The sequence below is a fragment of the Homo sapiens genome, chromosome 4, assembly GCF_000001405.40.
Source record: "Homo sapiens chromosome 4, GRCh38.p14 Primary Assembly".
Lineage (NCBI taxonomy): Eukaryota > Metazoa > Chordata > Mammalia > Primates > Hominidae > Homo > Homo sapiens.
Genome location: NC_000004.12, coordinates 159,117,181 through 159,129,790, shown reverse-complemented (window position 1 = coordinate 159,129,790; position 12,610 = coordinate 159,117,181). Strand labels below are relative to the sequence as shown.

Below are 12,610 nucleotides of genomic sequence, written 5' to 3'. Positions count from 1 at the left end.
TTCAGGGTCCGGATTGGGACCCCTTTCCAGTAACACTGTCTCGAAAAAGAGAAAAACATCCTAACTAAATTAGAACTTCATTTTGTAAAAGTCTTTATTAACAACAACATAGACATTTACACCTGCTCTTATTATAGGGGGAGTAGAGTGGATAGAATAGGGACTTTGAAATCAGTTATTTGTTCTTAAGCAAATTACTTAATCCCTGCATCTCAGTTTCTTCATTGGTAAATTGATAATAGTACCTCATGCTTTATAAGGTTGATGTTAGAACTGAATAAACCATAAGAAAACATCTAGGTGACTTTCTGGCACATAACACACACTTTATAAATGACAACTGCTTTTCTATGTCTTTCCTGAACTGTTCTGAGATATGTGCTCCCTAAACATAAAATAAAGAACTGACACCATAACTGTAAGCATTATGTATTATTACACTGACAGGCAACCTGAAACCATCAGTGTGGCACTTTCAAAAGGTCTATATTATCAAAGTAACTCTTAAGAGATAACTAGAGGCATAATATAAAGATTCATTAATATTGCACCTTTCAATGGTGAGCATTTATAATATGAAAGCAATTCTAATTGCTTTTCAAATTCTTCAAAAAGAAAGCGATAAGATTTCTATTCAAGATTCTTATTCTTATTACATTTCTATGCAAGTTTCTGCCTCCATGTCTAAGATCACATAGCAGCATTCAAATTTAAATACAGAATGATGACAGATTTCAATAATCAAAAGACTGCATCCATTCATATCATACAATTACAAATCTTTTCTTCTACAAATATGTATTCCAAAAAATATACTTAAAATAGATTTATATATATATATATATACACACACACACACACACACACACCCCCCATATGTATATATATACACACACTCTTCACTTTCAAGAGTGGCAAAGTCTTTCCATATGTATGTATGTATGTCTGTTACACATATGGAAAGACTTTGCCACTCTTTAAAGTGAAGAACTTTTGGTTCAGCTTCTTTATTTAAATAAAATGATCAAAACTATTTAAGATACATTGGTGTAAAAGAGTTTTTACACAATGGTTCTTTGAAGTCTGAAAATGTTTTGGCAAAGAGAAAGCTCTTTACAAAACTCAACATGAAGCCTGTACTTCTAAAATAATCCATATAAGTATTAACCTGCATAACCAAATAATAATTTGAAAACATGGTTTTACTGCTTTGTATTCACCAAAAAGAGGGGTGAATAAACTACTAGCCAAATGTTAAGAATATTAAGAAGATCTTAGCCTATTATCTTTATAAATGACTCACAATTTCTACTGACACTAATATTTTTATTATGTCAGCAATAGTAATACTTTACATTCATGTAGACTTTTCCATTGCGAAGTACTTTCTCATATATTAAACTTACGTAACCCTGAAAATAGGTATGGAAAGCATTGTGTTCCATTTTACAGGTGAGAAAACTAAGATCCAATGAAAATTTCCAGGGTCACGTGGAGAGTAACTGGATACAACATCAGTCCCTCTCTTCCAGCTAGTCTTCCTCAGTAGAATTAGGCCCCAAAATGTACTATTAGATTGACAGTAATGTAAAAGTTAAGACATTATTAGTCTCAGTATTTTTTCTTCTTGGATTTTACTAGATGAAATAGAACGTACAATTTAAAGTATCTCCTAACAAAAGAAAGGTTATAAGGTACATGTATAAAACAGGGAGTTCAAAATTCAAGGAAAGCAAACATATATATACATACCTAAATATAATCCAAGGCAATAAACTGCAGTCCAGGGCATAGAGATTCATAACACCATGCCTAGAATTCAGGACTTTGCTTCTGACTTGCTTCTGTAACTTACACAAATCATGGTGACTAAGTAAAATTTGAATTGCTATCACCTAACCAGGCAATTTTCTAAGAATCAATTTTGACTGTCTTAAAATAATTTACAAGCCTGAACAATGTTGTATTCAAATAATAAAAATAACTGCCTATGAATTAAATTTTAAAAACTGCACCAAACTGAGCTATATACCCCATTAGTATTCTTATTCTATTACTATGAGAATGTCAAACACACTTCATATTATACATTTGAATATTTAAGGAATGCTAAGGTATTATAAAACGCCATGGAGACATAAAGGTCATAAAGGTAGTTTAACCTTTGAGGAATTCTGCAGTTTAAAAATGAGATATGTACACTTAATAATTACGAAATTATGCATTGCCAAGGAATGCCCAGAAGAAACGCAAGCTAAAAACAGTGACAGCATAAAGAAAAATTCAACCTCTAGACTAAGCAACTAGAAGATGCTTCATGAAGGGGGGAACATGGCATTAAATGAGTTACTACCACAGGTAAAAAGGGAGGAAATCAAAAGGTGTGTTTTTTGTGGGGTACTGATAAAGCCCTGAGAATGGTGGCAGTGAGAAGGTAAATAGTATCATAAAACACAAATAAATAGGCCAGGTGCGGTGGTTCACACCTGTAATCCCAGCACTTTGGGAGGCCAAGGCAGGCGGATCACCTGAGGTCAGGAATTCAAAACCAGCCTGGCCAATGTGGTGAAACTCCATCTCTACCAACAATACAAAAATTACCCTGGTGTGGTGGCGTGTGCCTGTAATCCCAGCTACTCAGGAGGCTGAGGCAGGAGAATCGCTTGAACCCAGGAGGCGGAGGTTGTAGTGAGCCAAGATAGCACCACTGCACTCCAGCCTGGGCGACAAGAGCAAAACTCCGTCTCAAGAAAACAAACAACAACAACAAAAAATGCAAATAAACAAATGTTTTCATCCACAAACCACAGTTACCTCTTTACAAAATCAATTCAAACGTAGGAGCAGTTTACCCAGAAGATAGTGTGAGATTATTGTTCTTTGTGGTTACAAATATGATTCTTGACAATTACCATGCACATGAATGGGGTTCTACTTGACAATGAGAAATGAGGACTCGGGTTTTTTCCTCTAAAAGACCATCCTAAATAAACAGGTCTATAACAGCATTTTTCCTCTTGTAGCTCTGATCTTATAATCAACTGAGAAAAATAAAAATGAAGGGAAACTGAAATTATGACCTAGCCTAAAAGCAGAGGGGGAAAAGGATAAGTGTGGGTTCCTGTAAACACTTTTAAGATGGTCATTTTCACAATCAGCAAAGAGGAGTGTTTATCCAGTAAGTTAAAAAGAAAATTCTGAGAAAGTCTTAAAATCTTCTGAGAGATGACAGGGAGGCATCAGGCTTTTTTTTTTTTTTAAAACCTGGACAGGAGATAGAATAAATGACATTTTACAATCAAAATTACTTCACTTATTTCATATATAAAGAAAACTAAAAATATGCAAAAAGCCAGATTTTAAGTTGTGTTGGTGAGACTTTCTTATTTTTAAAAATTTCACCCAGCTTGGTAAGAATGATGAATTGCTTTACACTGGGCTTTCAAAGGTTTCTAGAATTGCTCTCTCCTATGCTATTTTGTATTTTGTTTCAACCAATTTGGAGATAGGTGTTTTCCTGAAAATTGTGTTTAACTCTCGTCCTTTAAAAAATAAAAATCACAACTAGAAATGTATAAAATGCTACACAGTAAGTTTGAAGGAAGGCTTAAATAGTATTCAATCCTTTCCAAAAAAATATTGTTTTCATAAAAAACATAAAAATTGAGGATAATCAATTTTTATACTTTCAAATATCACCCAGTTATTTTTGACCAAGTAGTTAAAGGAGAATAAACACTAGCAACATTGCTATTGGGAAGTGCTGAGTTCTGATAGCAGACACATTGTAGTAAGTTTTTCATTAGCATTTTTCTACAAAGTTATACTTAACATCACTGGCAAGATACTGTTGCCAAATTCTGAGTGGTCAGTGTCTCTCCTGAACCATGATGAAAGCAAATGCTCTCAACTAAGTAATTTCACATCTAACAACCAAAATCCAATTGGAACAGCCTCTTTTCTTAACACATATTGATAAAATTGTCATAGATGCACAGACTATAACAGCGAATTATTATTTTTTTTTTTTTTCGAGACAGATTCTCACTCTGTCGCCCAGGCTGGAGTGCAGTGCCGCAATCTCAGCTCACTGCAAGCTCTGCCACCCATGTTCACGCCATTCTCCTGCCTCAGCCTCCTGAGCAGCTGGGACTACAGGTGCTCGCCACCATGCCCGGCTAAATTTTTGTATTTTTAGTAGAGATGGGGTTTCACCGTGTTAGCCAGGATGGTCTCAATCTCCTGACCTCATGTTCCGCCCACCCCAGCCTCTCAAAGTGCTACGATTACAGGTGTGAGCCACCGCGCCCAGCCCATAACAGCTAATTATTTATCTTTGTGGTTTCCAAGAAGTAGCAGCTACTCAAAAAAACTCCATAGCACATTACAAAGAAAACGGAATACAAACTCTGGTAAGTTTCTGTTTTGACACAAGATAAGGAAATGTAAACAATAAAGAGTAAACAGTCTCATCTCTGACTCCAATTTCAAGGTTGATATACCTACAATCATTTTAAATAAGGTAAAACAGTAGTAAATATTTCTTGATTGTAAACTAAATCGATTCATTGATTCATTGATTGTGCAGATTTATTGAGCAAAGCACCTAACATATGCCAGGTATTGGGGTGTGGTATCTCTGATGGGCTTTAAAATCTCATAGCTGTTTGCGTGTGGCTTAATAACAAAAGCCTAATGCAGGAAGAAAACTGTATTAAAACCTCTCATCTAACTTTTATTTCTAAAAAAAAAAAATAGAAAAACCTAGGCAAAGACTACAGACAGTTTCAAGAAAGTTAGGCTAGAAAACTGAAGGCAACCTAGACAAAAATATGTCCTTCCATAAGCAAAAGTGTATGATCTGGAAAAACCATTCTGGATGAACATTAACAGATGAACAATAATAAATAGTATCTATTATACCTAGTATCTTTAAAAAGTTTTGCAAAGTTATGTTAATAACAGTATTTGTAGAATAAAATTTCTTTTTTCCCCTCAGAGTATATTTGTAAAGATCATCAACAGATACTTTCTTAGAGTTACTACAAGTCCTAGTCCTTGCTTGGCTATATTTAGGAAGAAAAAATAACCAAAACAGACAAAAGAGCTTTGTCTTAGCTGTTTTTAAATAACAGGGAAACTAGGCTGGATAAGTCTCTTCCTCTTCATTCTTCTTTGCGTAAAGATATATCTTCAGCAAAAAGATTACAGGCTTGTAATTACAGAAGACTTATTAAATTTTTTTTCTCTTTTAGACGGTATCTAGCTCTGTCACCCAGGCTGGAGTGCAGTGGTGTGCTCTTGGCTCACTGCAACCTCTGCCTCCCAGGTTCAAGCAATTCTCCTGCCTCAGCTTCCCGAGTAGCTGGGACTACAGGCGCGTGCCACCATGCTCAGCTAATTTTTGTATTTTTGGTAGAGACGGGGTTTCACATGTTGGCCAGGCTGGTCCTGAACTCCTGACCTCAGGTGATCCGCCCGCCTCAGTCTCCCAAAGTGCTGGTATTACAGGCATGAGCCACCACACCTGGCCGACTTACTAGATATTGTGCCCTGAAATCAGTTGAAAGTTCTCATCGAGAGTCCAACAGACAATTGAGAAAGAAAAACTTAGCACATCTAACAACAACAACAAAGGCCGGGTGCAGTGGCTCACGCCCGTAATCCCAGCACTTTGGGAGATGGAGGCAGGCAGATCACCTGAGGTCAGGAGTTGAGAACAGCCTGGCCAACATGGCGAAACGCCATCTCTACTAAAAATACAAAAATTAGCCGGGTGTGGTGGCACGCGCCTGTAATTCCAGCAACCTGGGAGGCTGGGACATAAGAATTGCTTGAACCCGGGAGGCAGAGTTTGCGGTGAGACGAGAACACGCCACTGCACTCCAGCCTGGGCAAGAAGAGTGAAACCATGTCTGAAGAAAACAAAACAATACAACAATAACAACAACAAAAGTAAAACGATAAAAATCCAGCCAGGCGAGGTGGCTCACACCTGTAATCCCAGCACTTTGGGAGGTCGAGGCAGGTAGATCACGAGGTCAGGAGATCGAGACCATCCTGGCTAACACGGTGAAACCCTGTCTCTACTAAAAACACAAAAAATTAGCCGGGCGCGGTGGTGGGCGCCTGTAGTCCCAGCTACTCGGGAGGCTGAGGTAGGAGAATGGCGTGAACCCAGCTGAGATCGAGCCACTGCACTCCAGCCTGGGCGACAGAACAAGACTCCATCTCAAAAAAAAAAAAAAAAAGATAAAAATCCATATCCCACCCACAGACACACACAGTTTAAACTCAAAGAAAATACTTAACCTGGCACGAATAACTTTTACAAGCTGGTAAACCAACCAGAAGCCAGTGAAACACAAATTTTTGTAACCACCAAGGCAGGCAACAAGATCCTTTTTATAGAATATATGCAAACTATGAGGGAATTAACACTTTCAGCATAACAAAAGAGAAATATCAAATTAAGTGTTCCATCACAAAAGCCAAAAACCATCTTGCTAACACTCAGTGAGTAAATTTAATCCATGAAGTAGGTAACTTCTGACCTATGAACAACTCGGATATTAGAGGCGCCAACCCCTAACAAAGTTGAAAATCTGCATTAACTTTTGACTCCCAAAAACTTAGCTACTAATAGCCTACTGTTGACCAGAAGCCTTACTGATAAACACTCGATTAACACATATGTTGTATTGTATACTATTTTCTTACAACAAATAAGCTAAAGAAAGGAAAATGTCATTAAAATCATAAGGAAGAGAAAATACATTTACAGTACTGTATCAGTATCTTAAATTTGTTTAATAAATAATAAAAATAACCTTTGCTAGATGAACTGCCTATCTGAAATTTTGGGTAACTGCAGTTGCAGATCTTAATCTACAGTACACAGCAAGCAATTCAACTTTTTCTTATAATGTCATGAATTTTCTTTGCTTCTTGGGAACACTTCCAGCATCACCAGTGGCACTTTGTATGGGTCCCATAATATTATTCAAGGTTTACAGTATTGCACTAAAAAGATGAAAAATATAGATCCACAAAAGATCACTTTTACTGCAATATGCAGTTTACTGATGGACAAACTCCTCATTGAGAGATGAGTAACCATACTCATGACACGAAAGCAACAGGAGGTGGCTACAAAATTATTACAGTAGTACCGTATGCACAATAATCTTATGCAGTTATGATTTAATGCTGCATCTTTAGATTTGTTTACATTTCTCTAGACTTCAGATGGAACTATGTACAATCTGTAAGGGTCCATAAGTTTTGATAAATTTTAACTTTTTTTTTTTTTGAGACAAAGTCTTGCTCTGTCGCCCAGGCTGGAGTGCTGTGGTGCAGTCTCGGCTCACTGCAATCTCTGCCTCCTGAGTTCAAGCAGTTCTCCTGCCTCAGCCTCCTAAGTAGCTAGGATTATAGGCGTGCGCCACCATGCCCTACTAATTTTTGTATTTTTAGTGGAGATGGGGTTTCACCATGTTGGTCAGGCTGGTCTCAAACTCCTGACCTCATGATCCGCCTGCCTCAGCTTCCCAAAGTGCTGGGATTACAGGTGTGAGCCACCACGCCCAGCCAAATTTTAACATTTTATCATAGATTTCTTTACATCTTATTGTCATATATAAAATAGACTAGTTATCTAAATATATTTTGTGCATTCATGACATACCTACTTTTTCATAATATTTCATAATTTTTCCATAACCTGTATTTTTTTTTTTTTTTTTTTTTTTTGAGATGGAGTCTTGCTCTGTCTCCCAGGCTGGAGTGCAGTGGTGCGATCTCACCTCACTGCAACCTCTGCCTCCCGGGTTTTACGCCATTCTCCTGCCTCAGCCTCCCGAGTAGCTGGGAGTACAGGCATGCACCACCTATGCCCGGCTAATTTTTTTTTTTTTGTATTTTTAGTAGAGATGGGGTTTCACCATGTTAACCAGGGTGGTCTCGAACTCCTGACCTTGTGATCCGCCCGCCTCGGCCTCCCAAAGTGCTGCGATTACAGGCATGAGCCACCGAGCCCGGCTCCATAACCTACATTTCTAGGCTATGTAGCCCATTTGCAAGTTTTTTCAAATTGTGGCAATTCTCCAAAAATTTTTTTAATATATTTATTGAAATCCCAACATTTATAATCCCAACACTTTGGGAGGCCAAGGCAGGAGCACAGCTTGAGCCCAGCAGTTTGAGACCAGACTGGACAACACAGTGAGATCCCATCTCCACAAAAAAAATTAAAAATTAGCTACAGGCATGGTAGCACACACCTGTAGTACCAGCTATTCAGAGGCTGAGGTGGGAGGAGAGCTTGAGTCCAAGAGATTGAGGCTGCAATGAGCTGTGATCACACCACTGTACTCCAGCCTGGGCAACAGACAGAGGAAGACCCTATCTCAGAAAGGAAAGGAAAAAAGAGAAAAGAAGAGGAAGGGGAGGGGAGGGGAGGGGAGAGGTCCATGTATGAGTAGATCCACAGAGTTCAAAACCATGTTGTTCCAAGGTTCAACTGTACATTTTTCCCTGTACCACCAAGTCTAAAACTCTCAGGAAATCAAGATCAAGTCATTAAACATTTATCAGCTCCAATTCTGTGCTAAAAGGTTGAGCATGAGCTTCAAAGATCGGCCGGGTGCAGAAGCTCACGCCTGTAATTCCAGCACTTTAGGAGGCCAAGGCAGGCAGATAGCTTGAGATGGAGTTCAAGATCAACCTGGCCAACACGGTGAAACTCTGTCTCTACTAAAAATACAAAAATTAGCTGGGCGTGGTGGTGGGTGCCGATAGTCCCAGCTAGTAGGGAGGCAGAGGATGGAGAATCGCTCGAACCCAGGAGGCAGAGGTTGCAGTGAGCCAAGATTGCGCCACTGCACTATAGCCTGGGCAACAGGGCAAGACTCCCTCTCAAAAATAAAATAAAATAATTTAAAAATTAAAAAAAAAAGATGGACAGTAAGTCTCAGCCCAATAAACTCTTAGCTTAGTGGGACTGATAGACATAGTTCAAGTTAATCAATTTTAAAGAAAAACCGAGTCCTAACTTAGACTGCAAATTCAGGCATATGTTGTAGTCCCACCAAAAGAAATAATTTATGGAAACATAGCTTATTTAAAGATGATAAATGCTAGACTCTTATCAGTAAAATTTCTAGACATTAGCTTCTGATAGGAAATTGTTTAACTGATCCCACTACAAAACATTAAGAGCAGTTTATGTATATAAATCTTGAATGCTATCAGAAAAAGCCTGTAACACATCATGTCCTAAGATAGGACACAATGCATTCTTAGAAGTTTTAGTATCAAAGCTAATCTTGTATAACAACCAATATGAAACTATTTTTCTTAAAGACATAAAGTTATGATGTAAGTATAAATTCGACAAAGTGCAAAAACCTATTTAACTAGCTTTTATGTATATTTTACATAAAAATATATACTTATAAGAAGTGATGATTTGGCTGGGTGCAATGGCTCACGCCTGTAATCCTAGAACTTTGGGAGGCCAAGGCATGTAGATCACGTGAGGCCAGGAGTTCAAGACCAGCCTGGCCAACATGGCGAAACCCTGTCTCTACTAAAAATACAAAAATTAGCCAGGTGTGGTGGCATACACCTGTAATCCCAGCTACTCAGGAGGCTGAGACACGAGAATTGCCTGAACCCAGGAGGCAGAGGCTGAAGTGAGCTGAGACTGCACCACTGCACTCCAGTCTGGACAACAGAGACTCTGACTCAAAAAAACAAACAAAAAAGAAATGATGATTCAGCTTTGGGGAGTGATGACAAATGAAACACTGAAGTCCTAAAAAAATGACAAAGTATTACTACAAGTAGACATATCAGTACATACAATTGGAGCACCCAAAAAAATGAAATACATTTCTGGAATTTTTTAAATAGAGTAAATCTGAAACAAAAGGAACCAATTTAGAAAATATCATATGCCAATATCCTTAAATCAATAGATGGGATGTTTAGAACTCATCTACCATAGAAATGATAATATTTACATTACAGACAGTGTTTTATAATATTTACACGTAATGCTCACCCACTAGTATTTTTATCCCTATTTGTAAATGAGACTGAGGTTCAAAAAATTAATAATCATACACCTAATAAGCGAACCAAGAAGTTGAATATACCTGCATTCCATAACCGTAGCTACAGTAATATAACTCTATAATTCAATAAGACTTTCAAAGAGGTCTCCTGAGAATCACTGCATAAGCTTATTACAATCATCTATCTCCTATGCAAAGTAAATTGGAGAAATACATCAGCTCACAGCACCCATTAATCTTCATCTTTCTGTACTATCGAGGCTTAAAAGCAAAATACTCAAATTTCCAGCCTCTTTTGCAGCCAAGAGTAGCCATGTGACACAGCCTTAGCCAATAAGTATCTAGAGAGGGCTTTCCTTCAAAATAAAAAGACAAAACACCAAGAAAAGGATTTAACACCCACCCCTCTCCTTTCCTGATTATTGAGGCAACTACCATTTTGTGGCTTTGAAGACTAACATTGCTTGCTAAATAGAAGACTCAGCCAGTTTCTTTAAATGACATCCTTGAGCGTCTGCACCAACCCAACCCTGCACTGTCTACCTTTAGATTTTTCTTGTATATAAAAAAAATAAGCCTGGAGTTAACCCCTATATCTGCAGTTCTTGGCAACCTGCAAACCTAACACAATCTGTACTATAAATCAAGTCTATCAAATCAACATATTAAAATCACTTTAGTGAATCAGTCATTAAACCAACGATGAAAAGTTAATCTATGGGAAAAAGTAAAAGAGTAATGAATATCAACTACTGAAAAACAGTAATAAGAAGAGTAAATATTTATTAAATCTTCAATGCCAGAGACTGTGTTAAGAACTTTAATAGGGCCGGGCGCGGTGGCTCATGCCTGTAATACCAGCACTTTGGGAGGCCGAGGTGGGTGGATCACCTGAGGTCAGAAATCCAAGACCAGTCTGGTCAACATGGTGAAACCCCATCTCTACTACATATACCAAAATTTGCAGGCAAGGAGGCGGGCGCCTGTAATCCCAGCGACTTGGGAGGCTGAGGCAGGAGAATCGCTTGAACCCGGGAGGCGGAGGTTGCGGTGAGCTGAGATCGCACCATTGCACTCCAGCCTGGGCAACAAGAGCAAAACTTTGTCTCAAAAAAAAATAATAATAATACTTTAATATACATTAATGCAGAGGTCCCCAACCCTTCTGGCACCAGGGACCAGTTTCATGGAAGACAACCTTTTTCCACAGGGTTGGGCGGGGGGGTGCAGGATGATTCAAGCATATTACATTTATTGTGTACTTCATTTCTGTATTACATTGTAATATATAATGAAATAATTATACAACTCACCGTAATGTAGAATCAGCACGAGCCCTGAGCTTGTTTTCCTGCAACTAGGGGATGATGGGAAACAGTGACAGATCATCAAGCATTAGATTCTCATGAGGAGTACACAACCTAGATCCCTTGCATATGCAGTTCACAATAGGGTTTGTGCTCCTATGAGAATCTAATGCTGCTGCTAATCTGACAGGAGGCGGAGCTCAGGCAGTAACGCCAGTGATGGGGAGTGGCTGTAAACAAAGATGAAGCTTCACTCTCTCACCTACCACTCACTTCCTGCTGTATGGCCTGGTTCCTAACAGGCCATGGACTGCTACCAGTCTGTGGCCCAGGGGTTGGGTACTCCTGCATTAATGTATTTAATCTTCACAATTATAGGAGATTGGTAATATTACAATACCCACCCATGGTGAAAATTTCATCAATCCTTGAAAAAAAAAACATAATATAGCAAAACAAAGCTGTATTTGTTTATTCTGAAACTATGACCTTCCTATTTTTATGACAGTAAAATATCCTTTCTTAAATGAGGCTTGTGGATAGCAAGTTTATGTTGTATTAAACATGCTTACTTGGTATAGTAAATAGGTGATGAACAAATGTCAATGCCCAGTGTTGTGAAATTTTAAGCCTGTGAAATCAAAAAGCCTGAAACTAAGGTGAAGTAACCTGCCCAAGGCCACAAAGCAGTTTGTTTGACAACAGAGACCAAGATTAAAACCACTGGGTTATATGAAGGAAATACACTAAACTCAAAACAAGTATTCTATGCATACAATTAAAATTAAAGATATGAATTTGTAACTACGAAAAAAAAAAAACCCAACCATCGCAGAATATATAAAGTAGGAACAAGGACTTTTAAAATGAAATGATTTTAGCATGTTGCCTCCCACAGAGTTTTCTCTAACTATGGGATGTAGATTTAAACCACACCAGAGAAAATAGAATCAAGATAGGAATTCTCACCCATTCCAACTTAAGTCTCAGATGACGATTATGTTAGGAGGTCCACATATGGGAATAAAGAACTTTTGGGGCTCTAAGCACACTGACTCTAAATGAAGCTTGTGGTATCCCAAATCCAAGCAACAGATACACAGAAAATGTTTGCCCTAAAGCTTGCTCTTCAATTTCTCACAGCTACACAAAAACAGGATGGGGATCAGATATGAATGAAGATTAGAAACATTGAAATGCTATCAAATTCCTCCTTATTTCAAC

General features: G+C 38.1%; 1 protein-coding gene and 2 non-coding genes across 4 annotated transcripts in view; 1 reads left to right on the top strand and 2 right to left on the bottom strand.

Moving 5' to 3' along the window:
- Nucleotides 1-12,610, bottom strand: part of RAPGEF2 (Rap guanine nucleotide exchange factor 2) — a 257,095-nt gene that overhangs the window by 230,383 nt on the left and 14,102 nt on the right. The gene's annotated exons all lie outside the window — the stretch shown is intronic.
- MIR3688-1 (microRNA 3688-1) lies at nucleotides 897-989 on the top strand. The gene has a single exon (NR_037459.1). It is a non-coding gene; the product is annotated as a microRNA 3688-1 (primary transcript).
- On the bottom strand, nucleotides 900-986 carry MIR3688-2 (microRNA 3688-2). The gene has a single exon (NR_039963.1). It is a non-coding gene; the product is annotated as a microRNA 3688-2 (primary transcript).